At 36.6% G+C, this 27,460-nt stretch overlaps 1 long non-coding RNA gene across 1 annotated transcript in view, besides 1 other annotated feature; it reads left to right on the top strand.

The window, feature by feature from the left end:
* Nucleotides 1–704: 704 nt before the first annotated feature.
* Nucleotides 705–27,460, top strand: part of LOC124900637 (uncharacterized) — a 34,506-nt gene continuing 7,750 nt past the window's right edge. Inside the window, exon 1 of the long non-coding RNA XR_007058725.1 lies at nt 705–946. This is a non-coding gene — a long non-coding RNA (uncharacterized LOC124900637). The remainder of the gene's footprint in view (nt 947–27,460) is intronic.
* Nucleotides 4,809–5,310: an enhancer, noted in NCBI's record as "NANOG hESC enhancer chr5:33293474-33293975 (GRCh37/hg19 assembly coordinates)". NCBI's record gives its function as "activates a minimal SCP1, AML or CMV promoter by ChIP-STARR-seq in primed H9 embryonic stem cells {active_cell/tissue: H9 hESC(primed)}" and the evidence as "EXISTENCE:reporter gene assay evidence [ECO:0000049][PMID:30033119]".

Genomic DNA, 27,460 nt, shown 5'->3' with positions numbered 1-27,460 from the left:
AGGTTTATTAGGAAATTATGCTGATAGTAATTTGATATTTTGGGGGTAGTGTTTCCTAGTCTGTCTGAAAATTATAAGATGGAGAAAATAAACTGAAGGAATGTTGCATGATAATAGTTATATTTATAGTGTATGTTGACAATGAAAACACATAGTGACAAAAAGCAACTATGAATTCAGTAACACTGTACCTGACTTGGTATTTTATTAGTCACAAAACACACATATATATATATTTTTTAAATAGGAATACTTTTGTGAGCAAACTATATTATTCATTTAGTTAACAGATAGTACTAGATGCATCTAAGAATTTAGTTGCAGTTTCTCTGGAGCTTTTGGTATCAAACCGCTGTTCACCCAGCGCAGGAAGACCAGATATCCACACTGAGGTTTGCAGCAGGAGAAAGGAAAGTGTTTATTTGCAGAGTGCCAAGCAAGGAGAATCAGGCAGTTCATGCTTAAGACTCAAACTCCCAGAGGGCTTACTGTAAGATTCTCCCCGGGCCTGAAAGCTTAAGATGAATAACTCCTCCCTTTTCAGGCCCAGTCCCAAGGCGCAACTTGCGCCAGCAGGGTGCGCCAGCAGGGTGCGCCAGCAGGGTGCGCCAGCAGGGTGCGCCAGCAGGGTGCGCCAGCAGGGTGCGCCAGCAGGGTGCGCCAGCAGGGTGCGCGATAGCAGAAGCAGGAAGAGAGCCGGGGGAAGACACCTACCCTGGCCGGAAGACACGAAGATCCAGAAAAAGGCCATCCGGGTACAACGTAGCAGTTACATCGGACTGTGACACTTACTGTTTACAGGAGACTATAAAACTTTGCCCAGTCGTCACTTGGGGCCCGCCTGCACCCAGGCCGTCATTAAAACAGCATGTTGCTCCACACCGCCTCGTGTTGTCTGTTGGTGTGCTCTCAGGGTGGAAACGATACAAGAACGTTACACTTACAGGTAAGGGTTTTTAAAGGCAGGAAGGCAGAAGTTACAGGTAAAGTCATAAATCAATATATAGAGGCTATACATTGGTTTGACCTAAAATGGTAGGACATCTTGAAGTGGAGGGGCCCACAGGTCATAGGTAGGTTCAAATATTTTCTGATTTGCAATTGGTTAAGGAAGAGAAACTTTGTTTAAAATTGTAAAGTCAGTAGTAAAGAATGTTAGCTCTGGCTTGTGGGTGAGACTTTCTCCAGGCCCCTCAGGAAGAAATTTAGAAGAAAGGTCAGAGTGCAATCCTCAGCTCCCCCTTATCTGAGGTCTCAGTGCCAGCAGATCCATTTGGTGGGGGTCCAGGTTGCTGAAAAACAACTCAGGTATACATGTTAAGATGTTATCTTTAGTTTCTACAGGGAACCAAACATTCTGGTGATTCTAACTCCTTGGCTATTGTTTTAAGCTACTATTACCTTCCCACTTATCAAGTTGTTTATTTACTTCTTAAGGATAGCTAGGTGCCTGGAATTACCCTTGAGGGAACTCAAGATTTTCCTTTATTTTCATGCTAGTTGTTGGGGTGGTACTCACAGGCCCCTATGAGGGGTTCCTGCCCTGTTTCACTTCTCCCAACTGTAAGTTGGGAACACTGTTCTAGAATGATAAGTATATCCAAGTGAATCAAGTTTTAACAATTTGTATTTAGCAGTAGCTAAAATGTATTGGGAGCTTAATATGTTCAAGGAGCTATGCAAAATTGCTTTATATGTATTAACTAACTTAATCCTCATTAACAGTCCTATGAAGTAAGTGCTACCATTGTCTCCTTCTTATAAATGCAGAGAGGGAAGCTTAGATGGTTAAAATCACTTTTTCAGGGTCACATATTTTCAAAGGTAGCCCCAGGTAAGTTCAATGCATATCCTTGGTTAAAAACTACTCGTCTAATTCATCTTCCTTATTTGTATTTGAGGAATTTAAAGTCCAGATGGGAAGCAAGTTACTTCTATGCCAGATCTAATATTAAAATCTTGGCCGTCAACATAAACTTTTTTTTTCTGTTTTCAGAGATTTACAGAGATAAAAGGCTCTTTGAGTGGCTTGCAATCTGAATAGGGAGATAGGACTTGAGCAGAAAAAAACAGAAATGATAAAAATAACTAATGCTATGTGGAGAAATGAGGGATGGCAGAAAGAAAAGAATATTTAATGGCAAGAGACATCTTTAAGGTAGGCTTCAGAATGGAGGCAAGTTTTAAAAGAAAAGTAGAACTTAGTGAAGCCAGAGAGGAGGAGTGGGAAGCTCTCTAGTCTGGAGTAGTAGTATGAGAAGAAGACAAGAAGGTGGGAAGATGAACAGAAGTTTGGGTTTGATGAACAGAAACATTCTGGTTCAAGTGAGTGGTCTTTTAGGGGACAAATAAAAGACCAGTTATGGAAGTGGGTAGGGTTTAGATAGTAGCCTCTTGTGCTGGACTAAGAAGTTTGTACCTTTTCCTATAGGAAGTGGGAAGCTATTGAAAATTTTAGAGAATGGGTAACTGGTTAAAATATTTCCATGCCCAGTGGCTGAGTTTGAGGGTGGGGAATTGGATTCACTTGATGCCTTTGGGACCCTCCTTCAATAGTAGTAGAACTGGCTTGGAATTAAGAGTTGGAATGGTGAGTATAAGTTGCCTGAGATGAATTGTCAGACACAGACTCTGATAGCAAATAAGCAAGGAGAATCTTGCTCAGGACCCTCAAAGCAGTGCCCTGAACTACTTTCCACAGTGGAACTTCTAATATCTGTGTTTACAAAGTTAGTATTCTTAAATTCAAGGAGGGTTGAAGAGGTGTTTGGAATTTAGTTCAATGTTTTATGTTTGTTTGTTACTGTCTATTCTTGCTCTAGCTAAGTATGCTGATATGTCATTATATGGACCTCAGGACTTTTCACGTGGTGAAATTGATTCTGGCTCAGAAAGAAACGTACATGAGAAGACCACAATAACTCTTCAGGAAGAATTTATTTATTTTTGTTTATTCACCCTTGTGGATTTAAAAAATTAAATTAATATAGATTAAATTAAAAATTAAATAAATATAGATCCACATGTAGCTATAGAAAATAATACAGAGAGATCTTGTGTACTCTTTACTCAGTTTTCTCCAATAGTAACATCTTGGAAAACTAGAGTTCAGGATCACAGCCAGGATACTGACATTTATTCAGTGAAGATACAGAACATTTCCATCATCACAACAATCTCTCATTTATAATAGCCATATCCAGTTACTGCCTGCCTCCAACACCACCTTAACTTCTGGTAATCACTAATCTGTTGACCATTTATATAATTTTGTTTTACACACACACACACACACACACACACACACATGTAAATTGAACAATGCATGATGTAACATTTAGGGACTGGCTTTTTTCACTCAGCCGAATTCTCCGGAGTTTCATCCAGGGCATTGCATGTATCAATAGTTTGTTCTTTTTTATTATATTCTATAGTGATTTTGATGTATCTCTTTGAATAACTTGTTTAGTGATTGCTCTATATATCACATTATGTATACATTACTCTTCATAGTCTGCTGGTATTATCACGTTATTGCTTCAAGTGAAGTATAGAAACCTTACCTCCCTTTAAATCTTCTATCCTCCCCTATTTGCAATACAATTGTCTTAAATACTTCTTCTGCATACATTTAGAACCACATCAAGTAGTGCTATATTTTTTGCCTCAACCATCAAACATGATTTAGAAAACTCCAGAAAAGTCTGTTGTATTTACTTATATTTTTGCTTACCATGTTCTTTCTTTGTGATGTTCCAAGGTTCCTGTTTTATAAATTTCTTTCTGTTGAGACCATTTTCTTTAACCATTCTTTTTTAGTAGATCTATTGGTGACAAATTATCTTAGTTTTCCTTCATCTGAAAATATCTTGATACCCACTTCATTCTTGAAGCATATTTTCACCCAATATAAGATTTTCGGTTGACAGTTGTTTTCTTTCAGTTCTTGAAAAATGGCGTGCTGTTTCCTTCTGGTCTCTATATCTTTAAAATTAATAATTACTGTCATTTGAATTGTTTTTTCTTATAGGTAAGGTACATCTCTTTTGCTGCTTTCAAGACTTTTTCTTTAGTTTTTGTAATTTGACCATTATGTGTAAAAGTACAGATTTCATTGAGTTTATTTTGTTTGGAATATTCTCACCTTCTTAAATCTGTAGGTTTGCATTGTTTTTGCAAAATTTAGGAAGTTTTTGGTCAACTCTTATTTCTTCAAGTATTTTTACAGCCCCATCCTCTTTTTTCACCCCTTCAAGAATAAAACATGACAATTAGATCTTTTGTTACAGTTCCAAAGGTCCCCTAGAATCTGTTAACTTATTTCAATCTATTTTCTCCCTGTTGTTCAGACTGGGTAATTCCTATCATCCTGTCTTCTAGTTCACTGATTCTTCTGTTCCCATTCTGCTGTTGAGCCCATCCACTGTTTTTTTTTCGTTTGTTTGTTTGTTTTTAATTTCAGTTATATTTTTCAGTTCTAAAATTTCCCTTTGGTCCTTAATTATGTCTTTTACCTCTTTGCTGAAACTTTAAAAAATTTGTTTGCTGAGACATCCTATTTTGTGTCAAGTGTATTTGTAATTGTTCATCGAAATGTTTTTATCATGGCTGCTTTAAAATTTTTGTCAGATAATTCTAAGATCGCTATCATCTTACTGGCATTTGTTAACTATCTTTTTTCATTTAGTTTCAGATTTTCTTGGTAATTGGTGTAATGAATAAGTATCAATTAAAACCTAGACATTTAGGTACTATGTTATAAGACTCCAGATCTTATTCAAATCTCTGTTTGAGATGGCTTTCTCTGACACCAAAGGAAGGTTGAGTGCTACCTTGTTACTGCTGGGTTTGTGTAGCAGTCCATTCAGGTTCCCCAGTTTGGATACATTGGTAACCAAAGCCATATACTTCTTGTTACTACTGGGCAGGAATGGGAGTTCCAGATCCCTCTAGTCTCCACTGATACCTTCCTAGTGGGGAAGAGTAGGAGGGCATCCTTGCTGCTCCCTTCCTAGCTACTACTGACCCCATGGGGAGAGGATGAGTGGCCTCATTTTCTCCTGGAGAGCGATGAAAGTCCTGACTTTCCAGTAGGTCTCCTCTGACACCACTCCAGTGAGAAGGCAGAAGCATACCTCATTACTGCTGGGTGGGTAGAAGTATGTTCCCCATGGCATCTCCATTGCTCCCCAGGTGGTCTCCACTGACACCATGGGTGTTTGAGGGGGGCTGGCTCATTAGTGCTCAGTGGGGAATGAATGTCCCACTTCCTACTCTACTACTACAATGAGGGATGTGGAGATGCCGTGTTACAGCCTGACAAAAGTGGGTTTTTGCTTGGCTTTTGCTGCTGATGGTGGTGGTGGAGGGGAGTGGCGATGATGTTTGACAAGAGTAGAGCAACTATTTTTTAAACATTTTCTGCCTCTTTCCAGGACATTTGACTAGAAAGAGCAGACTTTTATTGTTGTTATTGTTTTATTTTTGTATTCATTGGTGTTTTGGGGTTGCTGACTTCTTTAGCTGCAAATCCTGAATATATGAGGCAATGAGAAAATGCAGGGAACTCATCACTGTATTGTCACTCAGATCCTGAGGTCCTTAGCCTGTCTCCCTTTTCTTAACCTGTCAGTCTTCTTATATAAATTTTACATATGCAGAGGTTTTAGTTGTATTTACTTGGATGAATACAAAAAAGAACATCTACTCCATCTTCCTGAAAGGGGAAGCCCCCTGAAAAATTTATTTTTAAACATTAGTCTAGATCTTTAGGGTAACAGATGTTCTGAGATGCATAATTTATAACTTGTCCCCTTTCATACTGATTTATGCCTTTAAAAATTAATAAATTTTCTTTGTGTATATTTGAGTTACTACTTTTTAAGTGAAACATTTAAATGGGTGCTATTAAAAAAGAACTTTTGGTTTTAAGTGACACTTTGCTCTCTAAGTTGACACTTTGTTCTCTAACTCAGTATTTATTATTCTCTCTTGCTGGGGGTGGTCAAAGAAGTCTCTGAGAATATAATTAAAATAATATGACTTTTGCTGCTCAATTTTGCTTATGATTTAGGAGGTTTATATACAGCATATAGAACCCTGGTAAACCATTCATTTTCTAAGTATTGGTAACACAAGAGCTATGAAACTAAGAAAACCCCAAGAATGGGAATGAAAAAAATGATGAGGAAATACTGGACTCAGGCCTCTGTCTTGACTTAGGCTGGGCAATACCTATAGCCCAGCTCTACAGTAAAACTCCATTTGATTAGCCTAGGTAGAAAGATGACTCTTCTACATACTGGAAAGAGCTTCTGTCAATTCCTATTAATGCAATCCTTAAAGGTAGTGGAGCTACCGTTCTAAGTAGGTCTTCCTTATGTCAATGTTTATACTTTACTTCTTAATGTCATGTCTTAAGCACATAGTGAATATTTTTCTATCTGTATATTGACAGCAGTTTGAGGAATTTCCTTATTATGTAATGTTCATATCCTTACCTTTGGCTGACCAAAATTTGGCATAAAATGCAGCCCTTATGTGAACAAAAATGGTATGTTAGTAAAGACTGAGATTTTTTTTTCCCTCTTGAACAAAAGATTGAAGTAAAGTGTTGGATGACTCTCGAGGCAAGACTGCTAAAGGAAGGTTTTTCATTTGTCTATTGCTATGTGATAAACCATCCCAAACTCAGTAGTCTAAAAACACAACTATGTATTCTCTCTCATAATCCTCTGGTTTGTCAATCTAGATGGTACTTCTGCTGGTCTTGCCTGAGATCACATGATCGCAGTCATATGATGACTTCACTGGGGCTGGCAGTTCAAGATGTCCTCCCTAATACTTCCGGCAGTTGATGCTGCCAGTCAGCTGGGGCACCTTGGCTCTCCTCCACATGGCCTCTCAGCCTCCACTTGGTGAGACTGGACTCCTTGACAGCATGGTGTTCTCACAGTTAGTTCCAAGAGAGAGAAAAATGGAAATGGAAGGTGTAAGGTCTCTTAAGGCCTAGCCTTTGAAGCCACAGTGTTATTTCTACAAATCAAAGGCCTAGCCCAGATTTCCACAGAGGAGAAATAGATTCCATGTCTTGATGAGAAGAGGGGCAAAGTCACACTGCTAAAGGGCATGTGAGATGGGAGGAATACTTGTGACTATATTTGCCAACAGTCTGTCACAGGGGACAGAGAAGTGAAATGCTGATGAGGTCAAGGAGGTTGCAATGAGAGGTAGGGTGAGCTGCTGACACAGGGCCATGTGTCCTGGAGAACACTTGAGATATGAATAGCAGCCAAAGGAAAGAGTGTGAAGCAGTTGGCAGGGAGACTTTCCATGATGACTTTAGACAGCTCTAGGGACTGCTCATTTTGACTGGGCCAATGGACAGAACTATGCTTTTTTTTTTTCTAGAGTTTTCCCTTTATCGGACACAAAGACCTAAATCAACAGGCTGCAGTTCAATCTGGATACATAATCAGCCTGGCACAAAAAGATTTTCCCAAGCTAAGCACGCCACGGGCTTAAAAAATTCAAATATGAAATGAAGCAGTCTGAAAAATACTGGTTATGCAAACATTTTGTAAGCAATGAAAAAATGATGACCAGGGGTTTTGCAAAGTAAGTGATCATTTTGGTGCTTAATGACCCAGTGGATTATCAACATTAGGTTTAGCAAACTAGCTCGAAAGGGGATATTGTGGCTATTTCTTGGTAAAAGGTGGTACTTCACCATTTAGTATTGTACCATCTTGATTACTTAGGTGAGAAATTTATATCAGGTATTCACTTCTGGAACAAGAGCTTTGAGCAGAAATGTGACTATACCTGCAAGACAGAGTGAATGCCTAAGAATGATATTTTGGGGGATTAAAACAAAACAGAGGAATAAAAAGACAGAGTAGATGCAGAATCAGCTATATCTAGGAGAGACATGCACATGAATGATCCCATGGCAGCATTCCAGTACTCAGTGTATGTCCAGTCATGTGTTTTACAAGGCTAGCTTTTAGAGTTTCACCATTTGGGATCTCTGAATTCTAGGTATGCAACCTTACTCTAACACAGCAGTAAGAAACAGCCTAGTAAATAAATGTGACTAAAGTATGGCAGTGATCGCAGACAGATGTCAAGACCCACCTTATTATCCTACATGTATTTTATTCCTTTAATTGGAATATATCGAGAGTATCCATGATATAGATAAGCCATTGTCATGGAAATTAACCAGATAGTGCATGTGGCTGGTTTTATAAAGGTATGCAATAGCAAAGTGATCTGAAGAATTTTAAGGAAAACTTACTACAAAAGAACATCCTTTCTAGCTCATTTGTAAGGTCTGAAATTTTACCACTAAAGCAATTCTCTTTCCCCATTCCTCTCTTCCTTTTCCTTCTAATATTGTTTTCTATAGGTTTTCACTTTTAAAATGCAAATACTGCTGATATGTTACTATATCAAGCTTCATGATATAGTGGAAATCATACAGGCCTTGATTTCTGACCCTGTCTTTACTATCTATGTGATTGCGGGCAAGTTACTAAACCTCTGTTAAATTCACTGGGTTTTGTGAGGATTAAGTGCTATAAAAATTATATGTATATTGAATAAATATGTATATGATGTTATGTACATAATTATTAAATATATAATGTGTATGTATATATTATATATGTTATAATTATATGGAGAGAGAGAGAGAGAGGGAGAGAGAGAACTGGCAAATAGTACATGTTCAATAAACTTTAGTTTCTGGCTTCTCTTAAAAAAGCAAATTAGCAAAATACTTGGGTAGTACTTTCTTTCACTGATTTTTCCTGACTTTACAGCAGAGGTTTTTAACTTGGGGTCCATAGGTAGAATTCAGGGGCTCTGGGAATTTGGATGGGGAAAATCACATCTTTATTTTCATTACCCTTTAACTGAAATACAGCATTTCCTTCAATTATAAATATAGGTTACAAACCACAGCAATATTGGCAATATCAGTGACTTTGTCATCAATAGAAGTCATAGATACTTTCATGTAACGTTATAAGTTACAGAAATCTTGAAACATGATTTATGCTCATGTCCGCTTTGAAGTTGTAATAGTTATTAGACTGCCCCTAGATCTTATTATTTTCCGTGTTGATATAGATGCACATATGACACCACATCATAATTTGTTTAGTGATTGGTAAATGTATTTCATGGTAATTGGTTTCATTTTAAATTTTATGTATTTCATTTTGCATTTAAAAACATTTTAAAACTGGGTCATATGCAGTAAAGGAAAATGATGTTGCTTGTACTTGTTTATTAGTGGTGTTTGTGATACCAACTTTTGTTTATTGTAAGGTTTAATCATTTAATCACTTACTCTTAGGGTTTTTTATCAATTGGCTGTAGACATGACTGCCTTTTAGCAATTCACAATTTTATTGTTCAAAGAAATTCTTCACAGTGATTCAATTTATTATCAAACAATTAAAATTTTTATGTATAGAAGACTTTAATTAAACTATGGCATATCTATAAAATAGAATATAAACCAGTATAAAAAGAAATAAGGAATAGCTACATATACTGCTATGGAATGATTTCCAGGATATGCTGTTAATTCAAAAGAGCAAAATTAAGACATAAGTATGTAGTATACCACATATTATCTAAGAAATAGGATATGTAAGTATAAACTAAAAATATATGCTAGCTTATTTTTATAAAAATGGCCTAAATGCAATGAGATATTCTGGATGCTGGAACAGAAAGAGGACATTAATGGAAAAACTAATGAAATCTGAAAAAAGTTTATAGCTTAGTTGATGTTACTTCTCATTTTTGACATTGTACCATGATTATATAAGATGTCAACATTAGAGGAGGCTGGGTAAAGGGCGTATAGTCCTCTCTGTGCTATCTTTGTGACTTTTCTGAAAGCTGAACATTATTCCTAGTTTTTTAAACAAGAGTAAAAAAATGAAAAGATAAATAAGAAACTAATAAAAATATTACTTATGAGGGAGAACAGGATAAAGACAATAGGAATAGAAACTAGAGGGCTCTAAATGTACACTGTTTTATAAATGTAACTCTGGAACTATGTAATGTTTTAAGTAATTTTTAAAACAAAAGCGAAGGGAATAAATTTCCTAAAATAAAAAGCCAAAATAATCTAAAATATAACTACTTTTTGCATTGCTGGCTTAATTACACAGAGGGGAATTATGCCAAGTGATTTTAAAACAGATAATTTGCCTGCACACTCCTAGTGGGATGTATACTATGGCCAAAACAAACTGTAAAAAAACCTTAAACTGTTTTGAGTAATTGTGTACTAATATTAGCACTGTTATTTTGAACCCATTGTATATGTACATATATATACATATATATGCATATGTATATGTGTCTGTGTGTATAATATATAGTAGTATAACATTAATAAAGTATGTTTATGTCATTACTAATCAATATTTTCAGTACAATAGACAAAAATAAAAACATAAAATCAAAGAAGTAAAAGCCCTATAGTCATGTACTTAAACTGCAGTGTTTACTGGGATGAATTCATGACAATTTTCTCTTAAAAATATCAGAGGCAATATGATATTCTTTTACTGATGATTAAAAGAAGCAAATTAAAGATAAAGACATAAATAAGGTGATTTCTTGGTGATTAAAAGAAGCAAATTAAGAGATGCATACATAAATAAGGAAAAGAAGTCAGATTGAAAAAAGAAATTAAATCAGCACAGTGGTCTCCAGTGTGCAAGGCACTGTGGGGAATAGTGGGAAAAGGATAGTCTACTCGTTATAGCTATTGTCAAATGGAGGAAAGAGATACTTTGGAGGTAATGAGTATGGGGCAAACCATCCCTTTATACTTAATCACTGAGGAAATTACACTCAAATTAACAATACTGACAATTATGATTTGAATTAAGAAAAGCTTCAATCATGACCACATCCTCTTTTGGAGAGCAGTCAAATGTTTTAATATATTAGAAAATAAATAAAACACGTTTCAGCATTTAAACATAAGTTCAGGTATGTAAAAATTTATGTGTGTGGCTTGCCTTATTCCCAGATGATACTGCAAAATGAAGAGTGGTTATATTTGGAAGCACTTCCAAATATGAGCTAATGTCCCCTATTGATTTGCACCATGTGATACCTTGAAGTATCTTGGTAGGAATAACAAGCGTCTGGTCTGAGTCTATAATTATGAAAGGAATTGGCTGATAAGTAGTCATATGAATCCATGTGTCTCTCAGAATGTAAGTGCTGCCTGAATAGGTCATTGCAAGATGATCAGGCCTGTCTAAATATACAGTTAATCTCCAAATGAATCTGGAGTATCTCCTCCCCTCCCCACAGTGCCTTGCACATTGGAGACCATTGTGCTGATATCATTAAATATTTTTTTCAATCTGACTTCTTTTCCTTATTTATGTCTTTATCTCTTAAAAAGTAGTAGCACTATAGTTTGCTTCACATTTTAAACTTGGGATTTATTGAGTCACTAGTCTCAGATATCAATGACAGAATAGTCTTAGTTGAACTTGTCCTTATGTGAGATACTCAGACATTGATGGCTTGCTTTTTTGGTAGAATGGTTAATTCTTTAATTATACTTTACTGCTGTCTGTTTTCTGAGCCAAAGTAAAGAAATATACTGAATTGATAGATCACATTATAAGGAGAACAACTGATCTTATTTTTCAAATAGGGCAGAAATGTGCTCAATTGTATAAAATATATTAATTCTTTCTTTCATAAATGTCTATATACCAGGCACTATTCTAATACTGTAACATGCAAGGGTGAATTATACATGGAGAGTATCCCTCCTCACACTCTTGCCTATTCCTACCATTTTCCTCTATTGTCTGAAATTTATTGCATAGTTGTAATGCAAGTGCAATTCATGTATTTTAACAAGTTTTAAAAAATGCATATATATCTGGAGTTGGTAGAAGACTATCCTCTTAGTGTTAGCAGAATCAGATTACTTCCCTTCTAACACCTAGCTGAAATGAACTTCATTGATGGAATAAACTTTGTCTTAAAATGAGCATTGTGGAAGAAATTGTTGATTAATTTGGCACGTTAAATATTCGTAGTGTCAACATTTGGGCAGCTAGAAGACAGATGACAGCAGTGAGTATCTAAGGAATCTGGGGTAAGGGAAAGAAAGGAGTAAAGAAAGGAAGATCCATTTCTAAGGACAAACTGCTTCTGTCATTGTGCCACAGACTGACTTTGTAGCCTATCCCAGGGCCAGTTCTCTTGGCATCTTGTCTCTTGCTCCACTCTCCCTCATCTCTCCCCTTGAACTTCCCTTTTATTGAGGCTGTTCTTTATTTAGGATGTATCAATCAGAATATCCACACAGTTTCCATATTTACAAAGCTGCCAGAATGATATTTTATAAACCTCAGCCAAATATTACTCCACTAATTAAAACTTTCCAGTGGCTTCCCAATACATTTAGAATAAAAGTCAAACTCCTTACCTCAACCTACAAAAGTCTGCTTCATCTGGCTTGGGCCTGTTCTGTGATATTATCTCCCACTGTCTTAGTTTGTTTTATATTGCTATCACAGAATACCGCAGACTAGGTAATTCATAGTGAAGAGAAATTTATTTGGCTCACAGTTCTGGAGGCTAGGGACACCAGAATTGAAGGGTCACATCCAGTGAGGGCTTTCCTTTTTTTTTTTGAGATGGAGTCTCGCTCTGTCACCCAGGCTAGAGTGCAATGGTGCGATCTCGGCTCACTGCAACCTCCACTTCCCAGGTTAAAGCAATTCTCCTGCCTCAGTCTCCTGCGTAGCTGGAATTACAGGTGTGCACCACCACGCCTTGCTAATTTTTGTATTTTTAGTAGAGACGAGGTTTCACCATGTTGGCCAGGCTGGTCTTGAACTCCTGACCTCATGATCCGCCCATCTCCGCCTCCCGAAGTGCTGGGATTACAGGCTTGAGCCACCGCCATCCAGTGAGGGCCTTCTTGCTGTGTTATAACATGGCAGAAGGCATCACATGAGTGAGAGACAGTGGGAGATCAAACCCACATCCTCAAGCCCTTTTATAATTGGCATTAAAACATTCATGAAGGCAGAGCCCTCACGACCTTCCCATTGGGCCCCCTTTCCCAACACAGCTGCATTGGAGAGTAAGTTTCCAACACATGCTTTTTGAGGGGCACATTCAAACTATAGCACCCACTGTTCTGGTGCTTAGCCATGCTGCCTTTCTCTCTGTGATTTGGGCATCCTCAGTATATTCTTGGTTGGCAGATTTTGGACTTCTTTTTTCTCTCCTATCTCTTGACTCTTTCCCTAGACCTTTGTATGTCACTAACCCCCATGTTAATCTCTAAATGGAAATACCTTATTTTTTTTTTGTTTACTTGTTTATTGTTTCTCTAATTTCATTGGAACATAAGCTCCATGAAGGGAGAGATCTGTTCTGTCATGTTCTCTGCTGTTCATTAATGATGTGTTCAATGAGTAAATAGAGTACATTTTATTTCGACTGATTTTACTTATTATTTTAGGGGAATAGCCTCTGTCGGCAATGCCTCATTTTCATTTAGTTTCCCTCTTTGTAAAAAGGCCAAAGTTTTCAAATAAATATACAAATATATGCACAAGCTGAAAAAAACAAACTTTGCCTTACATTCAAGTCTCTTTAATTTGGGGGAAGTTGAGATGGTAAAAGAGCATGCAGCTCTCTTTTTCTTACAGTTCATACTTGTGTTAGAAGGCTGAAAAGTATTCTTACGTGTCTTGGATATGTTTCCTGGGGCTTAATCACCGTTAGCCAGAGAATGTTATCTGTTGTTGAAGAAAAGAATAGGCAAGAGAAATGTCAGACCAGCAGTATTGCTTTCTATTTTATGTGATTTTATTCTTACTGCACCATCCTCCTTCTCACTTCTGCGTTCTGTAAGTAGTTTGGAAGCTTCTTAAGCATGAAAATGGGAATATGTATTTTTATTTCCCAGTAGTGTGTAGCATAGTGCTAGAGAGTAGATAACCAATAATCACTTTTTCACTAAAAATAGTATTTAAGTTTTACATAGATCTTTACAGTTTAGTAAGAAATACAACATCATTTATTACAAAAACCCAGTGAAGTAGCAAGGCAGATATTAATTTCTTTTCTTTTACAGATTGAAAGACAGATTTCAGAGCTCAACAGAGTTATCTGAGTTCACTCAGCTAGAAGTGGCTGAGCTGGGAGTAGAGACTCTGGAGAGTGTTCTGTTTCCTCTAAGTGCTCATGTCTCTTTGTGACACACTGTTAATGATGATGGTATTGCATACAAATTAAAAGAGGAAATAACTTCATGTAAGATTTGGTGAAATACTGTTAATTCTTTGATAATAAAGTGAAAACATGGATTAAGCATTTGAAACAGAACTCACATACAGTCTCTCAGATACCGATGAGGCCTCTGAGACTATGCTGGCATTTTAGATCAATAGTGGAAGCACAAATGGTTCCAATGGGTCTCAGCCTTCAAGCCTTATTGTCTTTTGCAAATTTGCTTATAAGCTGCTGAAAATGCCACAGAATTGCCCTAACATTAGAGAATATGATAGTATCAAAGAATTTTGCTTTTTTACTTCTAAGAGAATTTTGAAAAACTATTAACCTCCTTGCATATTGTTGACATTCAAAATTTTTGTTATAAGTAAAATGGTTGACCAGGAGCACTGGCACACACCTATAATCTCAGCACTTTGGGAAGCTGAGGTGGGCGGTTCACGAGGTCAAGAGATTGAGACCACCCTGGCCAACACGGTGAAACCCCCTCTCTACTAAAAATAAAAAAATTAGCTGGGAGTGGTGGTGCGCGCCTGTAGTCGCAGCTACTCAGGAGGCTGAGGCAGGAGAATCACTTGAACCCAGTATGCGGAGGTTGCAGTGAGTCGAGATGGCACCATTGCACTCCAGCCTGGCGACACAGCGAGACTGCATCCCAAAAAAAAAAAAAAAAAGAAGAAGTAAAATAGTTGCAAATGATGGAATTGTCACTGTATTATTATAAATATTGACATACTAAAACAAAACTACTGTATGACTTTTTAGAATATGTTCAGTGGCATATAAGTGCAATTATAATAAAAGGCAATCATATATTTAAAAATACTTGCATAAGCTCTTTTTAACAGTTGGAAATTTTATATCTCTCTTGGAACTATAATTTTCATTGCATTTTTCTTTCATAAATCATAATGTAAATAGTTTTATGCTTGCTTTACTTTATGGATCACTCATTACATACCTCTTAAGACATATGTCCATTCTTATAAAACTTAAAACAGTGAATTTTCTGTGACCATAAGGCTCTAAGTATTTAAAACATTCTCCTGAATTGCATTATCATTACAATATTATTACTACATGATTAGTACAAGATAAATATATATTTTTAAAATAATATATAATTGTTAACATAAAGTAAAATTTTCTTAGGCATACTTTATTACCATTATTAGATGGGTCAGGTGTTTTCCCAATCAATTCATGTGTCTATGTTTACTATTTATTGCTAGGATGAAATGGGATTTAGCATCAGTTTTATTTCTGTTAATTTTTAAATGCGTAGATGCTATAAATCTTATTCATACAAATAAGTAGATAAGAATGGAATGGAATAAGTTTGTTATAGCAGTGTTATTCCGTGTGATATTAGAGCAGTATTCACTTAGTTCTTTTTTTTTTTTGCAATAAATGCCAAAATTCATGTAAGTTAACTTTCATCAAGATTAATTTTAATGATTTATCAGCTGACAAGTTGATTTTGGCTCTCCTTCAATTTTGCTAAAAGCAAAGAATTTGAAACCATCATATTTTCCAAAGGTTTTGCTTCCCTGTCAGAATAATTCATTTTCTAAAAGCTGATACTGATATTTGAAAATGTTGCTTTGTTTGGTGCCCCAGAAGTTTTGACATTTGTGGGCCACAAACTAGGGTAAGATTCTGGATGGGTAAAAAGTTTGCCTATCTTTTGTGGGAGGGAGAAAGAGATTATAAACGAGCACCACAGGCATATCCTCAGGCAGATCAGCTTTAATAAAAAGAATGTATGGAAATTGAGTACCTGGAAATACAGTGATCTGCAAATACCATTTTGAATGCCACAAGGTTAATGGACTAGCTGTGAGAGTTGAATGAAACACCCTGATAAACTGGGTCGGGAAGAGAACGATCAGAAGCTGCCACCATTCACGTTTTATTATTTATTATTAATTGTCTCACTTTAGAGGAAAACTCCAAAGATGGTCAAATACAGTGACTTTTCATTGATTTCTCAGAAAACTGCTAAGTCGGCAGAATAAAGTAAGATATGTCACTAATTTTTATTATTTAGAGATGTTTTGCTTACTTTTTGAACATAGAAATTTAGTGTTTGCTGAAAGCAAACTGGTTCACATTTTTTTTGCAGGGATAAATAATAGGAAGGCTGGTTTTTGGCAAAATTATGAGATAGCAATGTTGATTTTTGGTGATTTCTCACACCTTCCTTCAGCATATACCTTTCTTTCATTTTTCAGATTCTTCAGTTCTTCAACTCTTGAGTTGCTACAATAATCCACCTACCCCCGAACCCCAACCTCCTTAACTTCACCTTGTCTCTGACATCTCAATTTTAAGGGGAATTCCTAAAGAATCCAAAACCTTCAAGATGCAAAAGAATGCAAGATACAAAGGAGTAGTGACAGGCAATGAGAAATGTTCTTTTGGAATAAAAAGTTACTTCCTGAAATATAGATAGGTAGCTAATGCTACTTATTTTTTCTTCCATGGTCAGGTCTGGGGCACTGGGAAGAATGAGTAAAGGGCAGCGTAGTTCCTGTGTGCTGGACCAGTGTTTATTATGTAGGCCAAGTAGTATTTTGTAAGCCAAATGACCTTCTTAGACTGAGTTCCAAGACTAGGCTATTTAGATCAGATCCACGTGATATAAATATTGCATATCATATGAAACTGAAGACAGTGACCAGATACTGACCTCCCAGGTTGTGGCGCCGAAAGATTAATGAATGGATGAAGTTTGGGTTTCTGACAGCATTTTGGCTTTTAGAAAAAGTTGTGAGCAATGGTAGTGACAAGCAAGTAAAGGACTGTTGTATCTAAGTCTAAATAAACAAAAAGATAGGAGCAGACTGAATATAAATAGATGAAGGTTTTTCTTCTTAGCGCCAAGATAAAGCACATAGCAAAGCAGAATCTTTATTTATGATGATTATAGAGTCGAGTTTGAGTTCATTGCTCTTGAGAAGAATAAGCAAATCTGTGTATTTTTAAACATCTTCCATGCTAAATTTTATTTTTAATGAAATCATGTGCATCAGTTTAAAGAGAAACAATATTCTTGAATCCATATAACTTCAATTATTGGCATGAAGAATGTGGTTTAACAAGACACTATCCTACAGTTTTCTTACGGAGTCAGTTTCTTCTTCAAAAAGCAAAACCATTCTTAACTCTATAAGAAAATGATAAGCTATTGTATTTCCCATTCCAAGGAAAGTTATTCCAGCACAGCAAGCTGCAGCCATCATGATAAATCTTAGAGCCAGTCACCAGAGTGTTTCTATATTGCTCATGAAGCCTTAGCATATTTTATATCCTACACAGTGTAGTGGAGAAAATTAAGCCTTGCAACAGCTAGGGACTTATGCCAGGGTAATTTCCTTAAATAAATTTATTTGTTTTATTTAATTTATTATAAAAGTCATTAATACATAGCTTATAGAATTTCTGCCATAAAAACGCCTGAGGAGATGCTCAGTCAATTTTTTTTTTTTAAATCTAGAGGTCTAGAGATCGGTCAAAGGTCACGTCATGAGTTGGTCCCAGAGCTGACTCCCAGTCCACTGCTCCTGCTACTTTTCCAGTCACCCTCCTGAGATGGCCCGCTTGTCTGTATGCACATACAGAAAGAAGTACTGGGAAAAGTAGGAAATAATACTTAAAGCCCTTCCATTTGTATTTCCAGAGCCTGTCAGAGAGAATTTGGCAACCCAAGTAAAGTCTTTAGAGACATCAGAGTATTTATTCTTCACTCCGGTGACCAAATTTAGACCTGTCTGAGATTTTTTTTTTTTTTAATTATACTTTAAGTTTTAGGTACATGTGCACAATGTGCAGGTTAGTTACATAAGTATACATGTGCCATGCTGGTGTGCTGCACCTATTAACTCGTCATTTAGCATTAGGTATATCTCCTAATGCTATCCCTCCCCCCTCCCCCCACCCCACAACAGTCCCCAGAGTGTGATGTTCCCCTTCCTGTGTCCTTGTGTTCTCATTGTTCAGTTCCCACCTATGAGTGAGAACATGCAGTGTTTGGTTTTTGTCCCTGCGATAGTTTACTGAGAATGATGATTTCCAATTTCATCCATGTCCCTACAAAGGACATGAACTCATCATTTTTTATGGCTGCATAGTATTCCATAGTGTATATGTGCCACATTTTCTTAATCCAGTCTATCATTGTTGGACATTTGGGTTGGTTCCAAGTCTTTGCTATTGTGAATAGTACCGCAGTAAACATATGTGTGCATGTGTCTTTATAGCAGCATGATTTATATTCCTTTGGGTATATACCCAGTAATGGGATGGCTGGGTCAAATGGTATTTCTAGTTCTAGATCCCTGAGGAATCGCCACACTGACTTCCACAATGGTTGAACTAGTTTACAGTCCCACCAACAGTGTAAAAGTGTTCCTGTTTCTCCACATCCTCTCCAGCACCTGTTGTTTCCTGACTTTTTAATGATCGCCATTCTAACTGGTGTGAGATGGTATCTCATTGTGGTTTTGATTTGCATTTCTCTGATGGCCAGTGATGATGAGCATTTTTTCACGTGTTTTTCGGCTGCATAAATGTCTTCTTTTGAGAAGTGTCTGTTCATGTCCTTCACCCACTTTTTGATGGGGTTGTTTGTTTTTTTCTTGTAAATTTGTTTGAGTTCATTGTAGATTCTGGATATTAGCCCTTTGTCAGATGAGTAGGTTGCAAAAATTTTCTCCCATTCTGTTAGGTTGCCTGTTCACTCTGATGGTAGTTTCTTTTGCTGTGCAGAAACTGTTTAGTTTAATTAGATCCCATTTGTCAATTTTGGCTTTTGTTGCCATTGCTTTTGGTGTTTTAGACATGAAGTCCTTGCCCATGCCTATGTCCTGAATGGTAATGCCTAGGTTTTCTTCTAGGGTTTTTATGGTTTTAGGTCTAACGTTTAAGTCTTTAATCCATCTTGAATTAATTTTTGTATAAGGTGTAAGGAAGGGATCCAGTTTCAGCTTTCTACGTTCAGCTAGCCAGTTTTCCCAGCACCATTTATTAAATAGGGAATCCTTTCCCCATTGCTTGTTTTTCTCAGGTTTGTCAAAGATCAGATAGTTGTAGATATGCGGCGTTACTTCTGAGGGCTCTGTTCTGTTCCATTGATCTATATCTCTGTTTTGGTACCAGTACCATGCTGTTTTGGTTACTGTAGGCTTGTAGTATAGTTTGAAGTCAGGTAGCATGATGCCTCCAGCTTTGTTCTTTTGGCTTAGGATTGACTTGGCGATGCGGGCTCTTATTTGGTTCCATATGAGCTTTAAAGTAGTTTTTTCCAATTCTGTGAAGAAAGTCATTGGTAGCTTGATGGGGATGGCATTGAATCTATAAATTACCTTGGGCAGTATGGCCATTTTCACAATATTGATTCTTCCTACCCATGAGCATGGAATGTTCTTCCATTTCTTTGTATCTTCTTTTATTTCATTGAACAGTGGTTTGTAGTTCTCCTTGAAGAGGTCCTTCACGTCCCTTGTAAGTTGGATTCCTAGGTATTTTATTCTCTTTGAAGCAATTGTGAATGGGAGTTCACTCATGATTTGGCTCTCTGTTTGTCTGTTATTGGTGTATAAGAATGCTTGTGATTTTTGTACATTGATTTTGTATCCTGAGACTTTGCTGAAGTTGCTTATCAGCTTAAGGAGATTTTGGGCTGAGACAATGGGGTTGTCTCTCAGACCACAGTGCAATCAAACTAGAACTCAGGATTAAGAAACTCACTCAAAACCACTCAACTACATGGAAACTGAACAACCTGCTCCTGAATGACTACTGGGTACATCACGAAATGAAGGCAGGAATAAAGATGTTCGTTGAAACCAACGAGAACAAAGACACAACATACCTGTCTGAGATTTAAGATGTTTGGTGAACTATACCATCAGTAATATTTCCTCTTAAATTTTAAGAGAGGTATGCCAAAGAAATGCTGGGATACGGCAGAGATTCACTAGGCAGGATCTGGGTATTAGGACACACAAAGCAATCTGGAGAGCTGAATATTTATGGTAAACGTTTGCAAGTTTGAAAATCTTGTATATACCAATAGGTGCTCTGATTGAAGTCAGGGGTGAGAGTTCTGGAGCTCTGTTTACTTGTCTTTCTCTTTCCTCTGAGCTGCTGCTTCTTCAAAGATCCCTGGGCTTGTACGAAAACACCTCTTGGAAACCACAGGGCTAGGAAATTGACTTGCAAAGGAATCGTTTATTTGAAATTACTGACATATCACTTTCTTTCTTTAGTTCAACAAGTATTTACATAATTAGAGTGGTCTTTTATGCAAATTTAGATGTGCTACTTTTCACTCTAAGATAATGTTAAGTCAGCTGATTCCTCAATAACAATTTATTTTTTCATACCAGTTATTGGAGGAATGTCTATGGCTATACCTACCACCCTGAATACGCTCGATGTTGTCTCATTTTGGAAGCTAAGCAGGGTCGGGCCTGGTTAGTACTTGGATGGGAGGTAGTTGACTATACATTATGAGGTGTCTTCATATAATTGACCCACTTGATCTTTGTAACAGTTCTTTAAGACAAGATATTTTAAATATTCATTTCTCAGGTGAAGCAACAGAGCCTCAGAAAAATTGAGTTGTCCCAAGGCTGCATAAGTAGTCACTGGGGAAACCAATATCTCAACCTAGGCTTCTGACCATAAGTTTGGGCATTTTAGACTGTTTTCTTTCTAACCTACGTGGGTTTGCCCATTGTCTTTGGTACAATTTGAGAAAATGCTAGTATAGCCTGTAGTCACAGAATTAATCAAATCCAGATTTGGTTTATAAAGTACAGAAAACCATGACCTCGGTTTCGCTTGCACTCACTAACTAAGCTAATTGGCTGAGGGGAATTAAAATCTCCATGGTAATTATCACTAAAGCTTAAGCATGCTTAATTATAAGCTGGAATCCTGGATTGTTTTCATTACTGTCTGCTTCAGGATTCACTGTTCTTATTAAAGCATAGTCATGTCTATGATCAGAGCTATCTCTAGATAGTAAAAGAATTTTCCCTAAACTTTCATCTCTATTTTTTGTGCTAGTGTCAGGGAAATGACTTAGGGAAGTGGGTGATGGGAAGAAGGAAGTCATCCTGCCAACAGATGCACAAAAGGACTTACACAAATATAATCAATCCACAGTTTTGCCATTTTATGCCAAAAGGGATAGAATTTCTCTCATTTCACCCTCAAGCTGCAATTTTCTGATATCATTTTAAAATCACTGCTCCTAATCCTCATTTCATCAAATTTTATCTCTTCATAATAACTGAGATGTGGAGACAGAAAAGTAAGCTCATACTGATTTTCTTCCCTAACCCTGTCCCTCTCAGGAAAGTTGCTGCTAATAGGCACCAGCACAAGCCTTTTATATGTTCTTATACAATGCACAGCTGTGCACTAAGCACACAGAGAGGCGCACAACACAAAACCAGTCACCTGATGAGCAAAGAAGAATCAAGGGCAGGGGAAAAGTTGCAGCGAGATTTTTGGCTCTTTCTTCTTAGGACACTGTTTTTGTCTGACTATAATGTAAGACTGGAGAATTGTTGGCTCTAGTTTACAAGTCTGGCCACACTTAGAGAATCCTTTCCATGTGGGGAATCATTTTGATCTGATAGGCAGCCACATACTTGTCTTATTTGTCTGGGAGTCCAGTCATGTCACCTCTTTAATTTCCACTCAGACTTTCCCACAATATGGTTAGGAGTTTGAAAATATTCGATATGGTCAGACCTCCAAGGTTTCTACCATATGAATGTTTAATTGGCTCTGAAATTCTCAGCCCTGGGAATCAGTTGCTATCAGCCAGAATCTCCTGAGGTCACTTCATACCATAGCAGACCACCTCTAATCTTCTGCACCCGATGGTATTTTGGCAGGATATTCAGACTTCCTTTCGTGTCTTAGTTCTTCTTGAAGTTTGATGCCAATTAGATGCCCTCACTGTGACAGTTTCCTCATGGTCACATCTCCAGGTGTTGGGAACAAGTATGTCTGGTGCTATATTTGAGTATGACCCAAACACATATTTTCTTTCTTCCCAGGCAAGCCTGGAAGCATTTTAACCATCTTTTCTGCACATATTTTTGAGGAGATCCTGACGAGAGAGTACAAGTTGTGGTTTTCATGTTGAATTTATTGCCTTTCTCATTAAACAGTAGTAAGAAATGGAGTCTCACAGTTTTCATCTGTCCAGAGTTTCTGGTGCAGCTTTTGATGTTTTCTGGTTTACAGCCTGCTATGGATTTCCTGTATTCAGCAGACATTTGACCCTTTTTCCCGCCACCCTCCTATTTTTTAAACACAGGAAAGTTAAATTCCTGGGATGGCAGAATACAGTAGCTGATACAAAACTATGGTATTTTAATCCTATCACACAGTTAATTGTTAAGTCCTTGGTTGTAGGACACACACTGTAAATGTTAAAAGTCCTCAGAATTGGGGAATACCACTGTCATTCATTCAGCATATATTTTTTTAAGCCTCCCTTTGGAGGGACAATGCTGGACTAGGCAACAAACTAGATTCTGTTAATTTATTTCAAATATTTTATCTTGAGAAAACGAAAAATGTTTCAAAGAAAATAAGAAGGCACTTGAATTTATTTTTAGCTCTTGGTGTTTTCAAAAAATGACCACACTAATTGATGTATGTCCTGAGTAAATCTATTTGTGGGATCTCACTATGGCCCCAGTTACTAGACAGAAATAGCAAATTAATATCATCATATCTTCTCAAGTCTTTATCTGAGAGGCATGGTTTGTTTTTGTAAATGGAAAAAGCGATATTAATTAACATGATGTATCTCCACAGGAATGATGTATGATGTGGAATCCCACCCTTGCATCTTTAACGCTTTGCCTGGTTCTCTATCTCCTACCTCTTAGAATATGACACACAAGGATGGTTTTTTTAAAACAATATGTAGGATATAATTAGGAAACTACTGAGTCTTCATGGTAATGTCAGTGTTTGGTGGCTGAGATAATAAAAAAGCAAGATAATTTAAAACCATTTATTAATTTTTGCAACCAATCATATGTGTACAGTCACATACCACATAATGATGTTTCTGTCAGTGGTGAACCACATATACTATGGTGGTTCCATAAAATTATAATGGATCTGAAAAATTTCTGTCACCCAATGATGTAGCTGTTGCCATGTCATAGTGCAGCACATTACTTCTGTGTTTGTAGTGATGCTGATATAAACAAATCTGTACAGCCAGGTATATCAAAGTCCAGCACATACAGTTATGTACGGTACATAATTCTTGATAATGACAATAAATGACTATGTTACTGGTTGATTTATTATACTATGCTTTTAATCATTATTTTAGAGTATACTTCTTCTACTTATAAAAAGAAGTTATCTGTAAAACAGCTTCAGGCAGGTCCTTCAGGAGTGCTCCAGAAGAAGGCATTGTTACCATAGGAGATAACAGCTCCATGTATGTTATTCCCCCTGAAGACCTTCCAGTGGGACAAAATGTGGAGGCAGAAGACACTGATATCATAGGCCTAGGCCAGTGTGTTTGTGTCTTAGTTTAAATGAAGTTTAAAACATTAAAAACAATTATTTTAAAAATAGAAAAAAGCTTATAGAATAATAATATGAAGAAAAAATACTTTGTGTAGCTCTGCAATTGTGTTTTTGTTTTAAGCTGTTATTACAAAAGAATCGAAAAGTTAAAAAAATCAAAAAGTTTATAAAGTAAAAAAGTTTCAGTAAGCTGAGGTTAATTTATTATTGAATAAAGCATTTTTAAAATAACATTTAATGTAGGAAAAGTGTACAGTGTTTATAAAGTCTACCGTAGTGTACAATAATGTGCTAGGCCTTCCCATTCACTCACCACTTACTTATTCACTGACCCACCCAGACCAGCTTCCAGTCCTGCAAGCTCCATTCATGGTAAGTGCCCTATACAGGTGTACCATTTTTTATCTTTTAAAAGATAGTTTCACTGTGTTTTTTCTATATTTAGGTATGTTTTGATACACAAATACTTACCATAATGTTATAGTTGCCCACAATATTCAGTACAGTAACATGCTGTGTAGGTTTATAGCCTAGGAGCAATAGTTCACACCTTATAGCCTAGGTGTGTAGCAGGCTGTACCATCCAGGTTTGTGAAGTCACTCTATGATGTTTGTACAGTGATGAAATTGCCTAATGAAGCATTTCTCAGAACATTTCCCTGTCATTAAGCAATGCACAACTGTATTTATAAAATCAGGTATATCTTCACTAATTGGCTTTATTTAGGTTAAAGTTAAAATGTTTTCCCAAAATCACACTAACACTTGGAGGTTATCTTACACAAGTATCAGAGATTACAAATGTATTTTGAATGTCTATAGTAGATATTACATTCTGTATTTTTTCATATTTGATGATTTACATTATTATTTTCATTTCTGCTACCATGAAAACAAGAATGAGTTTAGCACACTGTTCATAAGGTGTCAAAGGTGTACTGGCTAGGTTGGAGTCACCTCTCCAGATCTGTCTCTTTTTATTCATACCTGCTTCACCCCGCTTTGGCCCCTAGAAACTTGATAGGTATAGACTAGTCAGACTCTGGTGCCTCTAGCTTCTGGATGCTTTTGGTCAGTGGGAGCCTTGCTCATATTTCTGGGCATTTTTCCTGAGTTTACTTTCAGTGGCTGTCTCTCTTTCAAAGGTGACCATCTGACATGACGAGTTTCCTCTTGGGTTACGGTCACCTCACTCCCCTTCCACTGTGCTTAGGAGTATTAACAGATCCTTGGGCGTTGTGAGCCTTCAAGTGACCTACTTACTGCCTCTCCCCTCACATCCTTCCACACATTGTATACATCTTGTTATAAATAAAGCATCCTCAAACTCTTCTGCCTTCAGTGTGCCATCTGTTTCCTATAGGGACGCTGACTTTTTTTTTTTAAAAAAAGAAAATATACAGAGCTCAGGGTGCAGGGTAGCTGTGAATTACTTTCATTTGTAAACAGTGAGGGAAGAATAGAAGAATAGAAAAAGAAGAATAGAAAATTGTAGCTCACCTTCAGATTTGTTAGAAAAGAACTTAAAGCTCCTAGGATAAGCACATTTACTATTTTTTCTGTCCCAAACAGATATAATTTTTATGTGTGTATATATATATATGTATATACACACATTATATATAAATATATATAATATATAATATAAATATAATATATATATTATATTTATGTTATATATATAATATATTTATATATTATATAACATAAATATAATATATATAATATATTATGTTATATTATATATATATATACACCTTGTGTTTGCTCAGTTTTGTACATAGCTCAAAATTTCACTGAATATACTAGTGCACGAATATGGGTGAACAATAGCGGTTTAGATCTGCCCCATGGGTAAGATGCAATTCTTTTTTTTTTTGACGGAGTTTTGCTCTTGTTGCCCAAGCTGGAATGCAATGGCGTGATCTTGGCTCACTGCAACCTCCGCCTCTGGAGTTCACGCGATTCTCCTGCCTCAGCTTCCCTAGTAGCTGGGATTACAGGCACCTGCCACCATGGCCTGCTAATTTTTTGTATTTTTAGTAGAGACGGGGTTTCACCATATTGGCCAGGCTGGTCTCGAACTCCTGACCTCAGGTGATCCACCCTCTTCGGCCTCTCAAAGTGCTGGGATTACAGGCAATATGCAATTTTTTTATTCCTGAGATTCTATATGTTTCTTCTGACTGACCCTGAGATGATTATTTATTATCCATAGTGATTGTGCTGATGGAATTTCTGAGGATGACTAATAATTCTGTCAGAGCTCACTCCAGTTAGAGTCTTTTCTTTGGCAAGCGTCTTTTCTTTGGCAAGTGACTAAAAGTATTGTTATGTCTGTTATTCATTGTGGTACTGCTTCCTCTATTCAGAGGCTACGTGGACTATAGCATTCTAAATGTATAAACTCTAAACCTTAGTGTTCTAGGTGGGCATTTGCAATGATGAATGGCAAAAGACTTTTCTACTCACTCAGTACTTTCATATATAGGATACAGGCCAGGATAGGTGAAATGGTAACTCTGCTTTTTTAGCATTTGTTTTGAAATAATTTTAGATTCACTAAAAGTTACAAAAATAGTAGAGTATTCTTGTGCACCATTTACCAACTTCCCCCAATGATAGCATCTTTGCATAACCAGAATTTTATATTTTATTAAGAAATTTTTTATAGAATAGATTTATTGATTTATTTCTGTCCTCTGTGTTTTAGTTTGTTCATGAGCTAATATCAAAGAAGCTCCATCTTTCTATTTTTATTTTGGGAAACAAATTTAGGATGCTTTTGTTCCCTCTTAAGAGGGAACAAATAGTATAATAAACAAATTCTTTTTGCTAGAAAGTATTAGCTTGTGGGTAGTGAAAGGCTGCTTTTATTGTAGAATTTTTAGCAATGACAGCAAAATATTGACTTTTTTTATTCCATAACAGAACAATTGGTTGTGATTTGTTACATACCAGAAATGCTTTCCCTAGCAGTGCCAAAGTATATTTGGGGAAGGATGTGGAGTTTATAGGCAGCCTTTGTTTAAAAAAAGAGAGAGAGATGGAAAGAACTACTTTTTCCAATTTTTTATTTATTATAGCTAGCACATTTTTCTGTTTATAAATTTATTTCCAATGTCTGTCTACCAAAAAGTAAAATCTGATAGAGTACGTTTGGATATTTTATTTTCATTTTCAGACGTATGGTCTGGAAAGACCTCTTTAACATTAAAAGATCCTTTAAAATAAGGCTTCAAATTGCCAAGAGCTGAAAATATAGAGTAATAATTTTTATGCTAAACTTGACTTTTGAGTACTCTGTAATGATTAATGTCTCTTCTGATGTCCAATTCCATATGAAATATTATATTTTTATAAGATAGTTTGTACTTCTTATAACTATAGAATGATCATATTCTCATTCAGATAGCCCTGCCCTCAAAATGTGGCCCTGGTCAACCAAACCCTGTGTATTCAAACACCTATTTCAGATTCTGCATTCACTAAGGAGATGAAAGCAAGTGGAAATAACCTGCTCTCTGTAGCATTCATTCAGCTATAAAGAGGTAGG

Source organism: Homo sapiens, chromosome 5 (assembly GCF_000001405.40).
Source record: "Homo sapiens chromosome 5, GRCh38.p14 Primary Assembly".
Lineage (NCBI taxonomy): Eukaryota > Metazoa > Chordata > Mammalia > Primates > Hominidae > Homo > Homo sapiens.
This window is presented reverse-complemented; position numbering and strand designations above follow the sequence as displayed.